The sequence below is a fragment of the Homo sapiens genome, chromosome 22 (assembly GCF_000001405.40).
Source record: "Homo sapiens chromosome 22, GRCh38.p14 Primary Assembly".
Classification (NCBI taxonomy): Eukaryota; Metazoa; Chordata; class Mammalia; order Primates; family Hominidae; genus Homo; species Homo sapiens.
Window position 1 is genome coordinate 45,349,510 of NC_000022.11, and position 19,759 is coordinate 45,369,268.

Here is a 19,759-nt window from a genome sequence, read left to right on the forward strand (position 1 = left end):
ATTTTTAGTAGAGACGGAGATTCACCATGTTGGTCAGGCTGGTCTTAAACTCCTGACCTTGTGATCTGCCTGCCTCGGCCTCCCATAGTGCTGGGATTACAGGCGTGAGCCACCGTGCCTAGACCAAGGACTGATTTTTAATGAGCATTTTCCATTGCTTGCCTCACATGATCCTTGAATTGTAGACAGTCTATTGAAAATGAAAAGCAGAAACTTACTTTGCCTATGTTAGTATTGTCTAGGGCTGCATCCACTTCATCTAAAACAAAGAATGGGGCAGGACGAAAACTAGAAAAAAATTACAATCAAGTAAGTTACAATTTTCTATTTGTTTTACAAAAGACTTGGAGGAAAAGATTAACAGTATTCAGAATAAATAAAACACATTCTTTTGGATATTTCTAAGTAATCGGTGACCTCTATGTTACTAAATCCAGTGCTCAGTTATCAGTCCACATGTATGTGACCTATGCAAGGAGTATTTGGGATTGGTCACTCCCTCCTTGAAATACTGCTTTGTGACTTGTAAGGGGACACAGTCTACTTCCCCTCAGCCCCTGCTTTTTCTGAGTCTGCTGAGAACTCTTCATCTCTCCAACTTTGGATGGCTGCAGTGCCCTCAGGGCTCTGTGCTTATCTAATCAACTCCCTTGGTGATTAAATCTGGCCTCAGGGTTTTAAATACCACCCAAATACTGATGGCTCCCGCCCTCTTACCAATAATTCTAACCTGTCTCCTGAGTTCTTTTTTTTTTTTTTTAATTTTTTTTAAATTTTTTTATTTTTTGAGATGGAGTCCCGCTCTGTCACCAGGCTGGAGTGCAGTGGCACAATCCCGGCTCACTGCAACCTCTGCCTCCCGGGTTCAAGTGATTCTCCTGCCTCAGCCTCCCGAGTAGCTGGGATTACAGGCGTGCGCCACTATGCCCAGCTAATTTTTGTACTTTTAATAGAGATGGGGTTTCATCATGTTGGCCAGGATGGTCTTGATCTCCTGACCTTGTGATCTGCCTGCCTCAGCCTCCCAAAGTGCTGGGATTACAGGCGTGAGCCACCGCGCCCGGCCCTGTCTCCTGAGTTCTAACCTCAAATGTCCAACTACTTTCTCTACAATTCCATGTGGGTGACTAATACATATCTCAAACTCATCTCAAAGCAAACTTCTCCCCTGCCCTCCAAACATGTTCCCTCCTGTGGTCTTCTCCATCTCAGTTAATGGCAGCTCTTATTACTCTAGTTGATTAGGTCAAAACCCACAGAGCCATCCCCTTCACATCACTTCCTTCACACCCGTACCTGTCAGCAAATTCCGTCTGCACAACCATATCCTCTCACCTTGGCCCAGTCACCATCGCCGTCTTTCACCTTGATTGTGACCAGTCTCCTAGCCCTGTGCCTGCCACTGCTGCATACAGTCTATTCTCCATCCATGCTGTGCTCACTCTGGCCTCGGGGCCTTTTGCACTTGCTGTTGCTGATGTCTAAGAATATTCTTCCCTTAGCTGTCCACATGACCTGCTCCATTTATTCCTTCAAATCTTTGCTCAAATGTTACCTTCTCAAATAGACCTTCCCAGATGACTCTTTAATATTGCTAACCACTTCCCTGCCACTCACCATCTCCATTCCCTGCTTTTTTTCTCTATAGAACTTGTTACTTTCTAATATTCTCTATATTGGATAATTAGTTTACTAATTTACCTTATTTATTATCTGCCTTCCCCAACTAAAATTAAGTATCTTCGAGGCAGGCATTTTGTTTTGTTCACAGCTGTCTCCCCAGTGCCTGCAACAGCACCTGATACACAGTAACTAGTAAATATCTGTTGACTAAATGGATGTGGGTGCCACCTGTCTGATTTTGCTCAGATGACTTGTTCAAAGCAGGCCTCCAGCTTTTATGGTTTTCTCTTTTCTTTTCCTGTGGCGGCCTATTCCTTTTCCTTCTAGAGACCAGTAAAAAGTTTTCAAACTCTTGTATGTTTTTGTTCCTGGTCATGGAAATAGAGAAGCAGCAGTATCTATATTTTACTAATTGTATTATGCATATATTTTTTGAGACAGAGTTTTGTTCTTTCACCTAGGCTAGCGTGCAGTGGTGTCATCACGGTTTATTGCAGCCTCGAACTCCTGGGCTCCAGCAATCCTCCCACCTCAGCCTCTGGGTAGCTGGGCCTACAGACATGTGTCACCACATCTGGCTAACTTTTTTCTATTTTCTGTAGACACGGGGTCTCACTATGTTGCCCAGGTTCAGCATCTGTACTTTAGATCTTCATCTAATGTTCTGAATGTTGAAAGAGGTTAATTGCCTTAATTGTAGATAACTTTTTGTTTCTTGATTTGTTTTACAAAGAAACAGTTCCACCACCATCAGTGGAAATAAGGAGATTAAATACTTTTATAGAAGAAATACTTCAACATTCTTTACTAAGTAGCAGATCTTGACTATTGACTAAGAAAATAATACACAAATTGGGATTTTTGTCAATCCTGATGTTACCTCTGGCTATTCCAAGTATTTTTTCTTTTCTAAAATGGAATAGTAGTAGCTATTGATAATAACAGAAATTGAATAAAAATCTGTCACTAACTAGCTGGGCATGGTAGCACATGCCTGTGGTCCTGCCTACTCAGGTGACTCAGGCAGAAGGATCACTTGACCTGGGAGTTTGAGCCTAGCCTAAGCAACATAGTGAGACTCTGTCTCCAAAAAAAAAAAAAAACCCCACTAAAAATCTAAGAATTCTGTCTTCGATTTGCTGTGTAAAGTCTAAATTGTTGTAGGCCTAAAACATAATCTGAATTGTCTGGCTGAAGAAGATAGTTTTGTATCTCATTTGCTAAATATTAATAAAGACAATAGTTAATATATCTTCTGTAGGAAGGTCCCCTTGGCTTCTGCCCTGATATGAAAACTGAATAGCTTTTGTGACCTTACCTGTGCACAGCAAACAGGAGAGCCAAGGCTGCCACACACTTTTCTCCCCCTGACAAATTGTCCATTGGCATAAACCGTTTGCCTGGGGCCACACAGTTATAGCTAATTCCCTCCAAGTAAGGTTCTTCAGGGTTCTCTGGGCTAAGAAATGCCTGAAACGCATGTTATTTATTTAGCAATATCAGAAAAGCAACTGATAAAGTTCAACTTGGAGTTTAACTGCAAAATATTCTATTGGTTAGCTTTTCTTCAATTTTGATGGAAAACTACCAATGCCTATAAATAATGTATTTAGTTCTACATGTAATCACAGACAACAGGGTTGTCTGGGTAGGCGGTAGAGGGAAAACACTCTCCTAACATACCCAGGGATCAGCCCTTTCCACCAGACTGCCAGTCAAACCTCAGAGGCACATGCCACAGTCTTACAAAACAGTCTTCATGCAGTTCACTCACTGATACGTTCATCAAACATGTACTGAATACCTATTATGGGCCAGGTACTGTAGATAAACAGAGATGAATCTTGTTTTCAAAGAATTAGGCATGGTGACTCATGCCTGTAATCCCAGCACGTTGGGAGGCCGAGGCAGGCAGATCACTTGAGGTCAGGAGTTTGAGACCAGTCTGGCCAACATGGTGAAACCCTGTCTCTACAAAAAATACAAAAATTAGCCAGGCTTGTTGGTATGCGCCTGTAATCCCAGCTACTTGGGAAGCTGAGACACTTGAACCCGGGAGGTGGAGGTTTCAGTGAGCCGAGATCGCACCACTGCATTCCAGCCTGGGCAACAGAGGGAAACTCTGTCTCAAAAAAAAAAAAAAAAGAAAGAAAGAAAGAAAAAAAAAAAGGGTTAATGGGTTTTAGTCTTACTTTACTGAAAGTAAGTTATTTTCAGTTCAAGTTCTAAATATCTGATCCAGGATCACCTTTTAGTCATAAAAGAAAATGAGAAAACAAAAGCAGAGCAGGTACATAAGTCCCGACCTACATCTTCATTTCACATTCAATTCCACAAGTATTTGCTATGGATACTGATAATGGAATGGGAGTGGTTATCATTAAAAGGGTCATATCTGAATTTGAACCCTGCCTTTAGTTATTTTCCTCTCTTTTGTTACTCTGGTCAACTCCACAGATGAACCATCTTCCCAGGATCCTCTATTATTCCACATTTACCACAGAAACCAACAGTTCTATAAAATCAAATTAATACCAGACTACAGAATTTTGGAACTAAAAGAGAATTTGGAAACAAAATGATTTAGTCCATTTATTTTTCAGATGAAGAAACAGACCCAGAGAGGTTTTGACTTGTCCACACTGAACAGTGTGGAGTGAATGGGATCTACAACGCAGGTCATTAGATAACCACTCTTCATGAACTGACTTTGCCCCATGAGTGAGTTGCTCAAATAATGTGGCAGTGGTTATTTCCCACCAAAAAAAAAAAAAAAAAAAAAAAAAAACAACCACCACCGGTAACACAGAATTCTCACTAGTATTTGAGGATGAAAGATACATACTTGGGCGCTGTTGTTTCTGCAGAGCTTCTTGTAGATTTGATCAATTGAGATTGAGACATGCTCAAAACACTGGGTGAAAAGATCGTATCTCCTTTTTTTCACTTGCTCGAACTCTTGCCTACACAGTCTGGCTTCCTTTCTGCTGGCCTCAAAAGCTAAGAGAGAATCAATGTTCTTTATTTTAGAGACCACTGAGGAGGTTCTTTTACTTAAACTGTAAAGCATAAAATATTTTTAAAATTGGATTTGAGTTTGGATCTCTTGAGTAAAGGTACCTTCAAAATACCTAAACTATTATTAATTCCAAGAAAATAGCTCTTAGAATTCATGAGCCTCTTTTCTAGTAGGGCTAATTGTTAAATAATATTGACAAGTTCTGATAGGGTATGTATGTATGTATGTATGTAAGTATGTATGTATGTATGTATTTAGAGACGGAGTCTTGCTCTGTTGCTCAGGCTGGAGCTCAGTGGCGTGATCTCGGCTCACTGCAACCTCCACCTCCCAGGTTCAAGCAATTCTCCTGCCTCAGCCTCCCGAGTAGCTGGGACTACAGGTGTGTGCCACCACACCCAACTAATTTTTGTATTTTTAGTAGACATGGGGTTTTACCATGTTGACCAGGCTGGTCTTGAACTCCTGACCTCAGATGATCCGCCCACCTCAGCCTCCCAAAGTGCTGGGATTACAGGCGTGAGCTACTGCGCCCAGCCTGATAAGAGTATTTATTATGTCAATTTTTTTGGTATTAAAAAAATACATGTGTTTTAAAATCACCAATAAACCTGGTTTTAAATTAAAGCAAAACATTTCAAAAAGGAAACAATTAATGATTCAGTATTAAAAGCACACATTAATATAAGACCACAGAGGAAAAAATCTATAACAAAAAGGGACAACAGAGGGGAGATTGTTGGCAAATGTTATAGCAATCAAAACACCCATGAATATAATCTTGTTAGTGACTACACTCAATTTTACCATCTGTGGACTCTTGAAACTTGTCTCTGACAGTCTTTAAGTTCTCCAGTGCTCGTAGGTTTGGGGCTGCTGTTTTCAGTAAGATATCTTCCTGGGATGCTACTTGCTGCAATAAGAGCCTAAGGTGGGCCTCGATTTCTTGATCAGACTGTAGAGCCTATTATGGGCAAAGAACAACACTGACTGGCATGGCATGTCTTTTACATCCAGCAAGGTAGGGTGCGTGTGTGGGGCACTTCACCATCCCAGGTCCCTGTGCATCCACTCCTTCTCTCCCCAAAGCCCTCTCTGAGCCTGGAGGTGCAGTCCTGCTGCAATATTTGTAGCTTCCTGAGTCGGCAGTGCTCTTTTCTTTGAACACATTTCAGCTCATTTTTTAATCTGGGTAAAGAGCAACAATTTATACTTCACCTTCATTTATTTAAAAATATTCATAATCTACTATGTATTACACTGAGGATTCAATGATGGAAGCTATTCAGTCTTTGCCTTTAAAGACTTACAGGGAAGTCAGACATATAAACTGGATTAAAAATTTTTTGTAAGAGACAGGTCTCACTCTGTTGCTCAGGCTGGTCTTGAGCTCCTGACCTTAAGCAATCCTCCCACTTCAGCCTCCCGAGTAGCTGGGATTTAAACCAGCTTTTACAGCGAAGTGAAAAGACTTCTAATAGGGCAAGCATAGGTACTACGGGGCAGGGAGAGGGGATCCAATCCAGCTAGACAGGTTAACACTTAAACCTGACACAAGTGATGAATAGAAGAGAAAAAGTGCCACGCCCTTCCAGAAGCTTTTTTTGCCACAAATACAATCAGAGTACAAAAAGTAGGCCGTGTGTGGTGGCTCATGCCTGTAATCCCAGCACTTTGGGAGGCCAAAGCATGTGGATCACCTGAGGTCAAGAGTTCAAGACCAGCCTGACCAACATGGTGAAACCCCATCTCTACTAAAAATACAAAAATTAGCCAGGCATGGTGGCGGATGCCTGTAGTCCCAGCTACTTGGGAGGCTGAGGCAGGACAATCGCTTGAACCCGAGAGGTGGAGGTTGCAGTGAGCCGAGATTGCACCACTGCACTCCAGCCTAGGTGACAGAGCAAGACTCCGTCTCAAAAACAAAACAAAAAAAAGTCTAACAAAATATATTAACAGCATATAAACTGAAAAGATGTGGTGGATATTGCTACTCAGCATCTGTTCTCCATTTTTTTTTTGTAATGCAGCACATGCTTTTGACCAGGTAGATCCACTTCTCCATCCTGGACCACATGTACTTAGACTTAGAGGCAGGGCCTGCTTGGTCTAAGGTAAAGTCCACCATCCTCCTCCCTCTACAGTGATTGGTTCAGCAATGAATATGTGACCCCATTCAGGCAACTGTGATGAGGGGACAATTGCTGGGGCTTTGTAGGTAAAACCTTTCTTCAATTTTAGAACAGCATGTAAACCAAAGAGTATCTGAGACAGGTCTCAATCAATTTAGTTTATTTTACCAAGGTTAAGGACTTGCCCCAGAGAGAAGTCTGTGCCTTTCTCCAAAGATGATTTTGAGGGCTTTGATATTTAAAGGGGAAAAGCAGGCAGGAGCAAGAGGAAGTATATGGTCACATCACTGAATCCATATATCGCAAGAGAAAAGGAGTAGGCAGGAAACAGTCAATTATGGATTCATCTCATGCTCAGTAAATCAGCACTTTACCATAAGATGAGAAACCATAAATATCTCCCCACGGAGTTGCTACCTGGGGAAATACTTAATTTTTCTTTTCTTTTTTTTTTTTTTTTTTTTGAGACAGAGTCTTTCTCTGTCACCCTGGCTGGAGTGCAGTGGCACAATCTTGGCTCACTGCAACCTCCACATCCCAGGCTCAAGCAATTCTCCTGCCTCAGCCTCCTAAGTAGCTGGGATTACAGGCACGTGCCACTGTGCCCGGCTAATTTTTTGTGTGTTTTTAGTGGAGACAGGGTTTCGTCATGTTGGCCAGGCTGGTCTCGAACTCCTGACCTCAGGTGATCTGCCCATGTCAACCTCCCAAAGTGCTGGGATTACAGGCGTGAGCCACCACGCCCGGCCTGATACTTAATTTTTTATATGTAGCTCTCTGCTTAGGAACAAAAGGAAAGGCAGTTTTTTGCATGACTCAGCTTTCAGCCTAATTTCTTCCTCTTGGTACAATGAATTGGGGTCCAAGTTTTCATTTTCCTTTCACTAGCACCACTACAAAAGACAGCTTCTTTCATCTCTGAAGGTTGTAGCTGTGTGGCTGTAAAGCCAAGAATAGCTGCACTCATGTGGCATTCAGGAGAGAAGCAGCTTCAGAATGAAGCCAACACCCAAAGAAATGTATGGCTACAGGGATGACTGGGAAACAGAGCCAGAGCTGCTCAATTAAAGGCACTAAATAAAGTTAAATTAAAGCTGGATTCCAGGTCTGTGCTCTGCAGCTGTGAAGGGTGTGCCACACCATCACCTACAATCCTGAGAGAGGCCTGTGTCTACTAAGGGTACTGCAGTGGGATGCCAGTGAGCAAATTTGGGATGCTGGAGTAAGTAGTTGGTTACTTTTGTTTATTGAAGGACTTCTCAAAAACTTTAATATCCATTGTGAATCTCTTCTCTTCCCTTCCCAAGAAGGGAAAAGACTTTCTCAAAAAGTAACCACAGAAACTTTTCTTCTTTGGCTAGACATTTCATGACACCAGTGTTCTACACAACACAGTCAGAAATGCTGACATAAACATTTTTTAAAGTAACCAATATATTTACTAGCTATTTTGTGATAACATGATACAATAAATATATATTTGGTTTTCATCCCAGTTCTAGGCACAGCATACCTAAAACCTTTGCAATTTCCTGAGTGGTAGGAGTGAGAGGGGCATCTTTTATTATTCATGATAAGCCCCCGTCAATCATACCTAATGAGCTGACTGTTGGAGGATGGGGACTATTGCAAGAGGAACCAACCAGGTGATTGGAGGGCTGGAACCTTCAGCCCCTCTTCTCTAAGGAGGTGGGGGAGAAAGGCTGAAGATTGAGGCTGGATCACCAATTGCCCATGATTTATCAATCATGTATGTAATGAACCTCCCATAAGAATCCCTAAACAGTGGGTTGTGAAGAGCTTCCAGGTTGGTGACCACACAAGAGATGCTGGGAGGGTGACATGCCCGGAGAAGGTGTGAGAGAGGGCATGGACCCTTTCTCATACCTAGTCCTATGCATTTCATCCATTTGGCTGTTCCATGAGTTGTAGCCTTTAAAAATGAACTGGTTAATGTAAATAAAGTATTCCCCTGAGTTCTATGAGCCATTCTAGCATATTATCAAATCTGTGGAAGGAGTTGTGAAAACTCCTGATTTACAGCCAACTGGCCATGAGTCTGGGAGGCCTGGACTTGTGATTGGTATCTGAAGAGTGGCCAGTCTTGTGGGACTGAGCCATTACTTTGTGGGATCTGATGCTAACTCCAGGTAGACAGTGTCAGAATTGAACTTAATTGTAGAACCCCCATTTGGTATTCAAAGAATTAGAGAATTGCTTGGTGTGGCAGAGACCCACAATTTGTGTCAGAAGTTTCATGATTACAGTGTTTTTCCTTTGTATATTTCTTCCAAAACCATTAGGAAATCTTTTAAAAAAAAACAAACTTAATTCTATCATCCAAAAATGATTCGGTAAGATTTAAATATTCCGTATTACTGTGAGTGATAAACAACAGAAAGCTTTCCATTACCTTCAAATCCTCTTTTAGAGAGCTGTAGTCTATTTCAAAGGCTTCTTCTTTTTCATAGATATCAATTGTTGCCTGGGTACTTTCTGCTTCAGTTCCCATCTGAAAAATATGTGAACACATACATTTGTTGATTAAGTTTGTTGTCTTATATGGGAGTGGTTCATGGCACTCCAAAAACAATTACAATAGTAACATCAAAGATCAGTTATATAGATCACCTTAACAGACATATAATAATAAAAAAGTTTGAAAGATTTCGAGAATTATCAAAATGTGACACAGAGACACAGAAAAGTGAGCATATGCTGTTGGAAAAATGGTACCAACAGACTTTATCAGCATGGGCTTACCACAAACCTTCAATCTGTAAAACAAAAACAAAAACAAAAAAACCCCTGCAATATCTGTGAAGTAGAATAAAACGAGGCATGCATGTATATGGGAGGATGCGCATAGGTCATATACCAAAACTATGCCATTTTAGATAAGAGATTTCAGCATCCTCGGATTTTGATATACATGGGGGATCCTGGATCCATCCCTGTGGATATCAAGGAATGATTGTACTTCCAGCCAATCTAAAGTGTCCTGTATAATCCAAATGTGGTGAAAAAGAAAGAAAAAAGGCCAACAGGGAAATGTTAGTGAGCCTTGGTTTTATCCTGTGATTTCTTTGGTGTCCATTCTTGCCTCCTCCTGTTCCGTCACCACCTGGAGATACTCAGTAGGGCACGTTTCTTCTGAGAAGGACCTCAATACAACTGTTGGAGAAGGTGCAGAGCAAGAACCACCCCCGCACATGATGTAAAATGTTATGAGAGTGCAGGGAACCGCTGCATACTGCCTGTGGCTCATTGTGCAAAAACATTCTTGACTCCAACAACTTTAATTCTCTGATTTCTCTTGGGTATCTAATATGTAGGTAAGAAACATGGGTTCATCCCGTGGCCCTAGTCCTCTGAGATGACAGTCATTTTGCCCTTTTTCCCTCCTATGAGATGTCTTCACCACCCCTAAAGGGGCTACAGAACAAGAGAAAGAATAAGCAAAGGGCAATGCATTAAGTTCCACACAACGGCACATATTTTACAGTCATTTGCTAGAATACCTCCACTTCAATGATGTCATCCAGTGACCCCGACAAAAGGATTATCTCAATGTCTTGCACTTTGCAATCAAGCAGCAAGTTATGCTTCTCTAATCGTTTCTGTTCCAGAGAAGTTTGAATACTTACAACTTCTTTTTGCAATTTCCCCACTTCCCTGTAATTACACAGATATGAAAAAGTAATTTTACTCATTATGTAACACTGCACCAAGGAAGAAAAATGTATGCTATAAACTTTTATGAAAAAAGAATTATTTATTCCTGTGAGTGCTGTAAGTTCTAGAATCCTCTCATTGATGCTTGTAATTTAATTGTTAACACTCCTGAGAAAGGTCACGAATATACTCAGTTAATCTAAGGGAGCATTTTCCACTAATAAATGTTACTGATTTAATCAGGGTTACCAAAAACAGTGCTTTCCTCACTCAAATATAAGCTCTACATTTTAGACCTCAAACCAAGATAAACAGACTCTTAGCAAAAGAAATCCCTTGCCAGTAAGTCACATACACTTAATAATCTGTTTTCCTTGCTACCACCACCACTAATGTAGTAACGCCTTCTATCTGAAAATGAGGGCTTGGGTTTTACTAATCGAAATGATGTGAGATTTTTAAAGGAACCTGGAAAAAGGACCAAAAGAAAATGGAAAAAAAAAGAAAGAAAGAAGAAAGTAAGAACTATGTGTTTTTCAAGAATATGAAGGGAAAAAGAAAGTATTCTGTTTGGGCTGAGTGTGGTGGCTCACGCCTGTAATCCAGCACTTTGGAAGGCCAAGGGAATAGGATCATTTAAGCCCAGAAGTTTGAGACCAGCATAATGAGACCTCATTTCTTAAAAAAAAAAAAATGGAAGAATGTGTTCTATTTACACAAAAAACAAGAGTTTTAAAAAAGCAAGAGTAAACGGACTTTAATTCCACTCCAAAATCTTAGACAAAGAACTTTCTGGCTGTATCTTGAAACACCGAAGGTCTTCGAACAGTGAGAAAAACTGTGAAATGCCAAAAGGCTGAGCAAAAACAGAGAATTAACTTTGTCTAATCACTCATGGTTATGTAAATCATGATGCATGACAGGAAAGCAGGTGTCATTTTGGTACAGGCCAGTCAATTCAAATCGTCATTGCCATCATCATGGCAGACACACAAGCTAATCTTGTGCCAGGTACTTTTTTTTTTTTTTTTGAGACAGAGTTTCACTCTTGTTGCCCAGGCTGGAGTGCAATGGCACTCTAAGTGCGTATGAATATTAACATATGTAATACTTACAACGATTCTGTGAGGTAGGCACTATTACTATCTCCATTACTGATGAGGAAATTAAGGTATCATATGTCAACAGCAGAGCTGGGATATGAAACCAGAAATTGTGGCTCCAAATTCTATCTCCTTACCCTCTGTGCTATCTTGCACAGACTAGAGGGAATCTCTGTACAACAGGAAGACACCAATGTCAAGGTAGAATTAGGGTAAGGGACTCTATACAGGTTCATGTTTTCATCCAACAAAAAGAACTATTTGCTCTAGGCCAGGAGCAGTGGCTCACGCCTATAATCCCAGCACTTTGGGAGGCTGAGTCGAGCAGATCACTTAAGGTTAGGAGTTCGAGACCAACCTGGCCAACATGGTAAAACCCTGTCTCTACTAAAAGAGAAACACACACACACACACACTAGCTGGGCATGGTGGTGTGCTCCTGTAGTCCCAGCTACTTGGGGGAGACTAAGGCAGGAGAATCATTTGAACCCGGGAAGCAAAGGTTGCAGTAAGCTGAGATCATGCCACTGTCCAGCCTGGGCAACAAAGGGAGACTCCGTCTGAAGAAAAAACAAAACACTATTTGCTCTAAACAACTAACCACTTCTCCTGGTTGAGAATGTTTGAAAAAAATTACAATGTTTGAAGGGTGTGATGTGAGACCAAGAGCAACAAAGGGCACATATTCAAATGCAACTCATTTCATACATTTCAGATAGTTGGTGTCCATGTTTAAAACTCTGACTAGGTCTTTCAAACTGATGAAGTCTTAATTACCTATCAACAGCCAGAAACTTCTTCCGTTCCTCTTCAATTTGAGTTTGAACTTTCTCGGCACTGGAGTTCTGAGTGACACGTATGTCCTTAAGTTGCTGCTGCTTTGCCATGAGTTCATTCACTGTCTGCAGACAGTTTTCTTCAGCCTGAACAGAGAGGATCTGCATTGTAGATTTACTATCTTTTATATTAATAAGGTACTTCTATGTTCTTATCAATAACACCAAACCAGTTATCCCGAGATGAACCTTCTCACCCTATGTGCTACCTGACCTTCCATCGTGGACTGTGACTCACGTTCTACACTTTTTAGAAACTGGTGATCATTACCTGCCTTTATCCTTCATTTTGTTTTTGTTTTTTTGTCCTTATTTTGGATTCATTCCTCAGCTCACTGACTTCTGTTCCCATTCTCCAATGAGAGTGTTTCTGCTATCATGATCTCTGTCAATTAAACATTTTCCAGACTTTTACGTTTTTGACAGCCTTGATCATTTCCTCCTTCCTGAAACTCTGGGGCTTCTGTGATACCACCTCTTTTGACTCTCCTCATAAGCTAAGTGACCACCTTCCAGATCCCATCGCTGCTCCACTGCTCTTCACTGCCTACCTCCCTGCTAGGGAGTCTCAACCATTCTCATGTGGTTTCAGTTTACTCCCATAAACCAGCAACTCCCAAATCTGTATCTTCAGCCTAGACTTCTCCCATTATCTACTGTTTAACAGCCTGCTGGAAATTGCCATCTAGACATCACATAGGCAACTCAAGCTCCACAGGTCCAGAATTTTCTCTCCTTAACCTGCTGCTCCCATTCACCAATCACCCCAGTTAGAACTAAGGAGTCATCTGTGACATCCCCTTGCCCTTCCTCCCATGTTGACATCCAGTAATTCATAAAGCTCTGCTGATTTTACTTTAAGTATTTCTTAAATCTGTCCCCAACCCCTTCACTAACAGGACCCTTCAGGAGCGCACAAAAGGTTTACCACATGAAGGAAGTCATAATTTCAATGAAGAGGCACTTCAGCTACCCATTATTAATTACCTTCTTTAGGTGATCAATATCTTCACTACCTTTCTGGATAGTTTCTTTTAATGTGTTGATCTTATTCAGTTTCTTCTTAAGGTGACTGCGACTATACTCAAGTTGAACATTAAGCCGAGTTTTTTGTTTTTCAAATTCTAATCTAGTATAATAAAGTCAAGCATTACAAGTGTAAACAGAAAACTTTGATTCCTTCTTTTTTCTTATGGGAAATTTCAAACAAATATAAAAGTAAAAGGAATACTATAATGAACTCCCAAGTAGCTGTCACCCAACTTAATAATTATCAATTCATGGTCATTCTTGTTTCATTGATAACTCCACTAATTGACCCTCCCACCACTGGCTTATTTGAAGCAAGTTCTAGACATGATGTAATTTCACCTGTAAGTATTTTTGTATGTATCTCTAGAAGTGAAATGACTTTTAACTCATAAAGTATTATGGCTAAAATATAATTCATTAATATCAAATTGCTGTCATTGCCAAATTTCCTTTTTAAAAATTTTCTTTTATTCTGGGCGCAGTGGCTCATGCCTGTAATCCCGGCACTTTGGGAGGCCAAGGTGGCACATCACTTGAGGTCAGGAGTTCGAGACCAGCCTGGCCAACATGGTGAAACCCCACCTGTACTAAAAATACAACAATTATCCAGGCTTGGTGGCGTGTACCTACAGTCCCAGCTACTCAGTAAGCTGAGGTGGTAAGAACTGCTTGAACCTGGGAGGTTGCAGTGAGTTGAGATCACACCACTGCACTCCAGCCTGGGTGACAAAGTGAGACTCCATCTCAAAAAAACAAAAGCAGATACAAAAAAAATTCTTTTTTAAAAAAGAAAAATTGGTTGTTTGAATCAGTATCCACACATTGCATACAGATGATGTTTCTTAAATCTTTTATAATCTACAGATTTCCTCTCCTCTTTTTCTTTATGTGTTTATTCTTATTATTTAGTCTTTTCAAATAACTATTTTTTTTTTTTGAGATGGAGTCTCACTCTGTTGCTCAGGCTGGAATGCAGTGATGCGATCTCAGCTCACTGCAACCTCCGCCCCCTGGGTTCAAACAATTCTCCTGCCTCAGCCTTCCTAGTAGCTGGGATTACAGGTGTGTGCTACCATGCCCGGCTAATTTTTGTATTTTTAATAGAGACAGGGTTTCGCCATGTTGGCCAGGCTGGTCTCAAACTCCTGACCTCAAGTGATCCACCTGCCTCTGCCTCCCAAAGTGCTGGAATTACAGGCATGAGCCACCGCGCCTGGCCCAAATAACTATTCTTATATAAACACCAAACTTGGGAACGTTCATTCCTACTTTGCCAGCTTCATAAACTCCTCATAAAGAATTCCATTGTCAACTGTAGCTCATCCTTTCCATGCTCACCCTGCCCCCCCACCACACCCTGCTAACAGAATCATTTGTTCGAGAAACATTTTTAAGTACTAACAGCTATTGTGCTAGATACTGCTAATATAAAAACAACTATAACAATTAAAACATTAATAACTATTTAATGAGAGGTTACTATATACCTGACAGTGTTATAAAAGTTTTTACATGAATTAACTTACAAGTTTTAAAACTCTACTAGGTCAGTAATATTATCATCTTTATTTAACAGATGAGAAGACCAAGGAACAGAGAGCTAAGCAACTTGCCCAAGGCTACCCACTTAGTGGTAGAGCCAGGGATGACACACTCAGACAGGGGGACAACAGAATCCCTGCTCTTAATCCGTGACCACACTGCCTGTAGGAGAGCTTAAGAAATTTATTTGTGCTGCAGGAGGCAGACATACAGATGATGTAGAAGTGGAACGCTTCTTCACTTGGCTTTGGGGTGTCACATTACCCTGGCTTTCCTTTCCCCCAACTAGCTGCTCTTTTAATGGTTCTTTCTCATCTCTTCGACTTGCTAACATCTTGTAGGATCTCTTTTCCTTTTTTTTTTTTTTTTTTTTTTTTTTTTTTTGAGATGGAGTCTCGCTCTGTTGCCCAGGCTGGAGAGCAGTGGCACGATCTCGGCTCACTGCAAGCTCCGCTTCCCGGGTTCACGCCATTCTGCTGCCTCAGCCTCCCAAGTAGCTGGGACTACAGGCACCTGCCACCACGCCCGGCTAATTTTTTGTATTTTTAGTAGAGACATGGTTTCACCGTGTTAGCCAGGATGGTCTCGATCGCCTGACCTCGTGATCCGCCCACCTCAGCCTCCCAAAGTGCTGGGATTACAGGCATGAGCCACCGCACCCGGCCGGATCTCTTCTCCTTTCTATCCACATTCATTCCGTTGTTGCTCTTGTGTAGTTACATGACTTCAAGTGCCATTTATATACGGACATTCCCAAAATTTATACCTCTAGCCTGGGCCTCGCCTTTGAACTCCTAACTTGTGTATTCAGCTACCCATTCTATACCTCTAACTGGATATCACAGACATCACAAACTCAGTACCTAGAATACACAGTGAATAAGCCACTAGAAGTAACAGAGGATTTAGCAAAGTTACTAGATGTTAGATCAATCTAAAATTTGAGATTAGGCCGAGCATGGTGGCTCACACCTGTAATCCCGGGCACTTTGGAAGGCTGAGGTTGGCAGATCGCTTGATCCCAGGAATTGAAGACCAGCCTGGGCAACATGGCAAAACCCCATCTCTACAAAAAATACAAAAATTAGCTGGGCATGTTGGCACACACCTGTGGTCCCAGCTACTTGGGAGGCTGAGGTAGGAAGATCACTTGAGCCCAGGAGGCAGAGGTAGCAGTGAGCCAAGATTGTGCCACTGCACTCCAGCCTGGGTTGACAGAGTGAGACCCTGAATTAATAAAGATAAAATAAAATTTGAGATTATTTTTCTACACTAGTAGAAACCAACTAGCAAAAGCATCATAAAAACACATACTATTCACAAGAAAAAAATAAACCCTATAATTATCTAGAAATTAATAAGAAAACATAGATCTCTATGGGAAAAAACTCCAAAATTCTAATAAAGGATATAGATGATTAGAATAAATGGAGAGACATTCTATGTTTTTAGATGGGATGACAATATTTTGAAGGTATCAATTCTCCACAAATCTATCAATCCAATGCAATCTCAATTAGAATTCCATTTTGGTTGTTTTTTGGGTTTGTTTGTTTGTTTGTTTGTTTTTGAGACAGAGTCTCCCTCTGTCACCTAGGCTGGAATCTGGTGGAACGATCTTGGCTCACTGCAACTTCTGCCTCCCAGGTTCAAGCAATTCTCTTGCCTCAACCTCCTGAGTAGCTGGGACTACAGGCATGTGCCACCACGCCCAGCTAATTTTTGTATTTTTAGTAGAGATGATGTTTCGCCATGTTGCCCAGGCTGGTCTCAAACTCCTGAGCTCAGGTGATCCGCCTGCCTCGAGCTCCCAGATTGTTAGGATTACAGGTGTCAGCTACCATGTCCAGCCTCCAGTTGGATTTTTGTGAGAACCTCAATAAACATTGTAATAGGCAGAATTATTTAGAAAGCAAGTCTAAATAAGAGGTCCAGGCTAAAGGTACAAATTTTGGGAATGTCAGTATATAAATGTTACTTAAAGTCATATAACTAGACAAGTTCAAAGTTTACCTCAGAAGAAGAAATATGACAAGGTTAAAGAGGGGGCATTTTATGATGATGAATTAATTCATCAAAAAGACAGTGATCCCAAATATGTATGCACCTAATAACAAGGCTTGAAAATACATTAAGTAAAATCTGGCTGGGTGTGGTGGCTCACACCTGTAATCCCAGCACTTTGGGAGGCCGAGGTGCATGGATCACCTGAGGTCAGGAGTTTGAGACTAGCCTGGCCAACGTGGCAAAACTCCAAAAAACTAAGTGCTGGGATTACATGCATAAGCCGCTGCACTCAGCCACAGATAATTCTTAGATTTGCTCTTGAGATAATTTTCTATATCTTGTAGGCATTCTTCATTCCTTTCATTCTTTTTTTCTCTTCTGTCTTTTCCTGTAGCCTATCTTCAGGCTTACTGATTCTTTCCTCTGCTTGATCCATTCTGCTGTTAACAGCCTCTAAGGAATTTTCCAGTTCAGCAAATGTATTTATCAGTTCCAGCATTTCAATCTCTTTGTTAAGCTTCTCCGATAAATTTCTGAGTTGCTTTTCTGTTATTTTGGAGATCACCAAGTTTCCTTAAAACTTCTATTTTAAGTTCTTGATCAGAGAGCTTGCCTACTAGTCTCACTAGGCTCAGTTACTGGCTCCTTGCTTTGTCTGTTTTGGGAGGTCATGGTTCCCCGTTTGCTATTGTTTCTTGTGGATGTACATCTATCTCTTCACATTAAAGGATTATCTCTGTCTGGCTTGTTTTTGTTTTTTTATTTGGTATGTTTGCTTAGAAATTTGCAATATACCTGTTGGGTACCTTTTCTTTTTTCCCCGCTGATAGGCTCACTGCCTGCTTTTTGGCACCAGGTGATGCCTTAAGCTCAGGTTTGCTTCAGCTCCAGCAAACTTTGGAGCGTTGCCTATCTTGCATGGGGGAGATCCTAAAGGGGATATCCTGACAATTTGGGAAGGCTGGCTACAGGCTGGTGCCCAGGGGACCTATGGAACCTACCTCTGTGTGGTGTTGCTGTGTGATGCTGCTGAACAGCCACTCTAATTTGGTGTCTCCTTTGACCAAGTTACACAGCAGAGTTTCCTGGACTGGGGATGCTAGTCCTGCTTCACTGCTTTGTCTGTCGGTCCTCAGGAACTTTTCTCCCTTCAGTGATACTTCCTATGGGCTGAGGCAGGGACAGGCCCCTTGCCAGGGAACCCAAGATGGTGAGGAAGCTGGTTGTCCACCTTGATCTCACTCTTTCCAGGGTAGTAACCACGAGTCAGGGGAAATTTTTCTGCACACTTGGTGCCTGACATATTGGGATAAGGGCACCACAGATGTAAGTCCAATTCTCTTATTGTCTGCAAGATTTTTCACTTCTCTGTGGCTTCAGGAACTGTCTCATTCTTGTTTTTGAATTCTGGGATATTGCTGGTGACAATCTCAGCACTGTATATTTGTTTATGGTTTTCTCTGGGAAGCAGTGAAGCCAGCTTGATTCTATTCTGACATTTTGGTGATGTCACTGCCAAATTTGTATACTTTATTTTTCTTGTCTAACTTTATTGACTAGTATCTCTAGAATAATATTAGATAATAGTGATACTGAGTATCTCTAATTTCTGACATTACTAGGAAGTGAAACCATGAAACCACAATGCTGATTTCTGAGATGTATTTTTTCATATCATAGGTATCTTAACTATTCACATCTTAAGAATATTCAACCAAGAATAAATGCTGAATTTTGTCAAGTGTTTTTTCATCATCCTTAGAGTTGATCATATGATTCTTTCTTAATATGGTGAATTAAACAATAGATTTCCTGATACAGAACCATCCTTATAGTTCTGATATAAAGCCCACTAGATAATGGTACATTATTTTGTTGTTGTACTGCTGATTTGTATTTAACCTTGTTTTACTTGGTTATTTATAGGTGACATTGATTTACAGTTTCTTATTGTATGTATACTTTTTTGAATTTTGGAATCAGTATTATGTTCCTTTCATAAAAAGATGCATTTTTTCCTCTTCTACATTCTGAAATAGTTTTTTTTTTTTTTTTCTGAGACCGAGTCTCGCTCTGTCACCCAGGCTGGAGTGCACTGGCATGATCTCGGCTCACTGCAATTTCTGCCTCCTGGGTTCAAGCAATTCTCTGCCTCAGCCTCCAAAGGAGCTGGGATTACAGGCACCCACCACCACGCCTGGCTAATTTTTGTATTTTTAGTAGTGATGGGGTTTTACCATCTTGGCCAGGCTGGTCTTGAACTCCTGACCTCATGACCCACCTGCCTCGGTCGGCCTCCCAAAGTGTTGGAATTACAGGCGTGAGCCACCACACCTGGGCTGAAACAGTTTTAATATTGAACATCTGTTTAGACATTAAACACTGAAGTTACATGTGCCTTTAAAGTCTGCTGAGATAATTCACCTGTGAAGCTATCTGTACCTGGTGTATTTGGCAATGGGGTGGGTAGGAAGCCTTTTTACTTTCTCTTCCTATTGTAACTGGCCATCTTAGATTTTTCTATCTTGAGATAATTTTTGGTAATATATTATTTCTTGAAAATTACCACTTACTATCTACATATATGAATATTTACAGACAAGCAAATTATTGTCTCATTCTTTTGTTTTTTTTTTTGAGACGGAATCTTGCTCTGTCGCCCAGGCTAAGTGCAGTGGCACGATCTCGGCTCACTGCAAGCTCCACCTCCCAGGTTCATGCCATTCTCCTGCCTCAGCCTTCCGAGTAGCTGGGACTACAGGCGCCTGCCACCATGCCCAGCTAATTTTT

General features: G+C 41.1%; 1 protein-coding gene across 5 annotated transcripts in view; it reads right to left on the minus strand.

The window, feature by feature from the left end:
- SMC1B (structural maintenance of chromosomes 1B) overlaps nt 1–19,759 on the minus strand; it is a 69,537-nt gene that overhangs the window by 5,447 nt on the left and 44,331 nt on the right. For 2 of the 5 annotated variants that reach the window (NM_148674.5, XM_011530144.3), the window contains exons 16-23: nt 13,376–13,517; nt 12,330–12,475; nt 10,296–10,449; nt 9,188–9,286; nt 5,450–5,606; nt 4,469–4,623; nt 2,942–3,093; nt 219–288 (exon numbers count right to left, since the gene is read on the minus strand). In NM_148674.5, the coding sequence (NP_683515.4) occupies nt 219–288; nt 2,942–3,093; nt 4,469–4,623; nt 5,450–5,606; nt 9,188–9,286; nt 10,296–10,449; nt 12,330–12,475; nt 13,376–13,517 (1,075 nt within the window). The remainder of the gene's footprint in view (nt 1–218; nt 289–2,941; nt 3,094–4,468; nt 4,624–5,449; nt 5,607–9,187; nt 9,287–10,295; nt 10,450–12,329; nt 12,476–13,375; nt 13,518–19,759) is intronic. The other 3 variants (XM_011530145.3, XM_047441333.1, NM_001291501.2) reach the window with 3 other exon arrangements.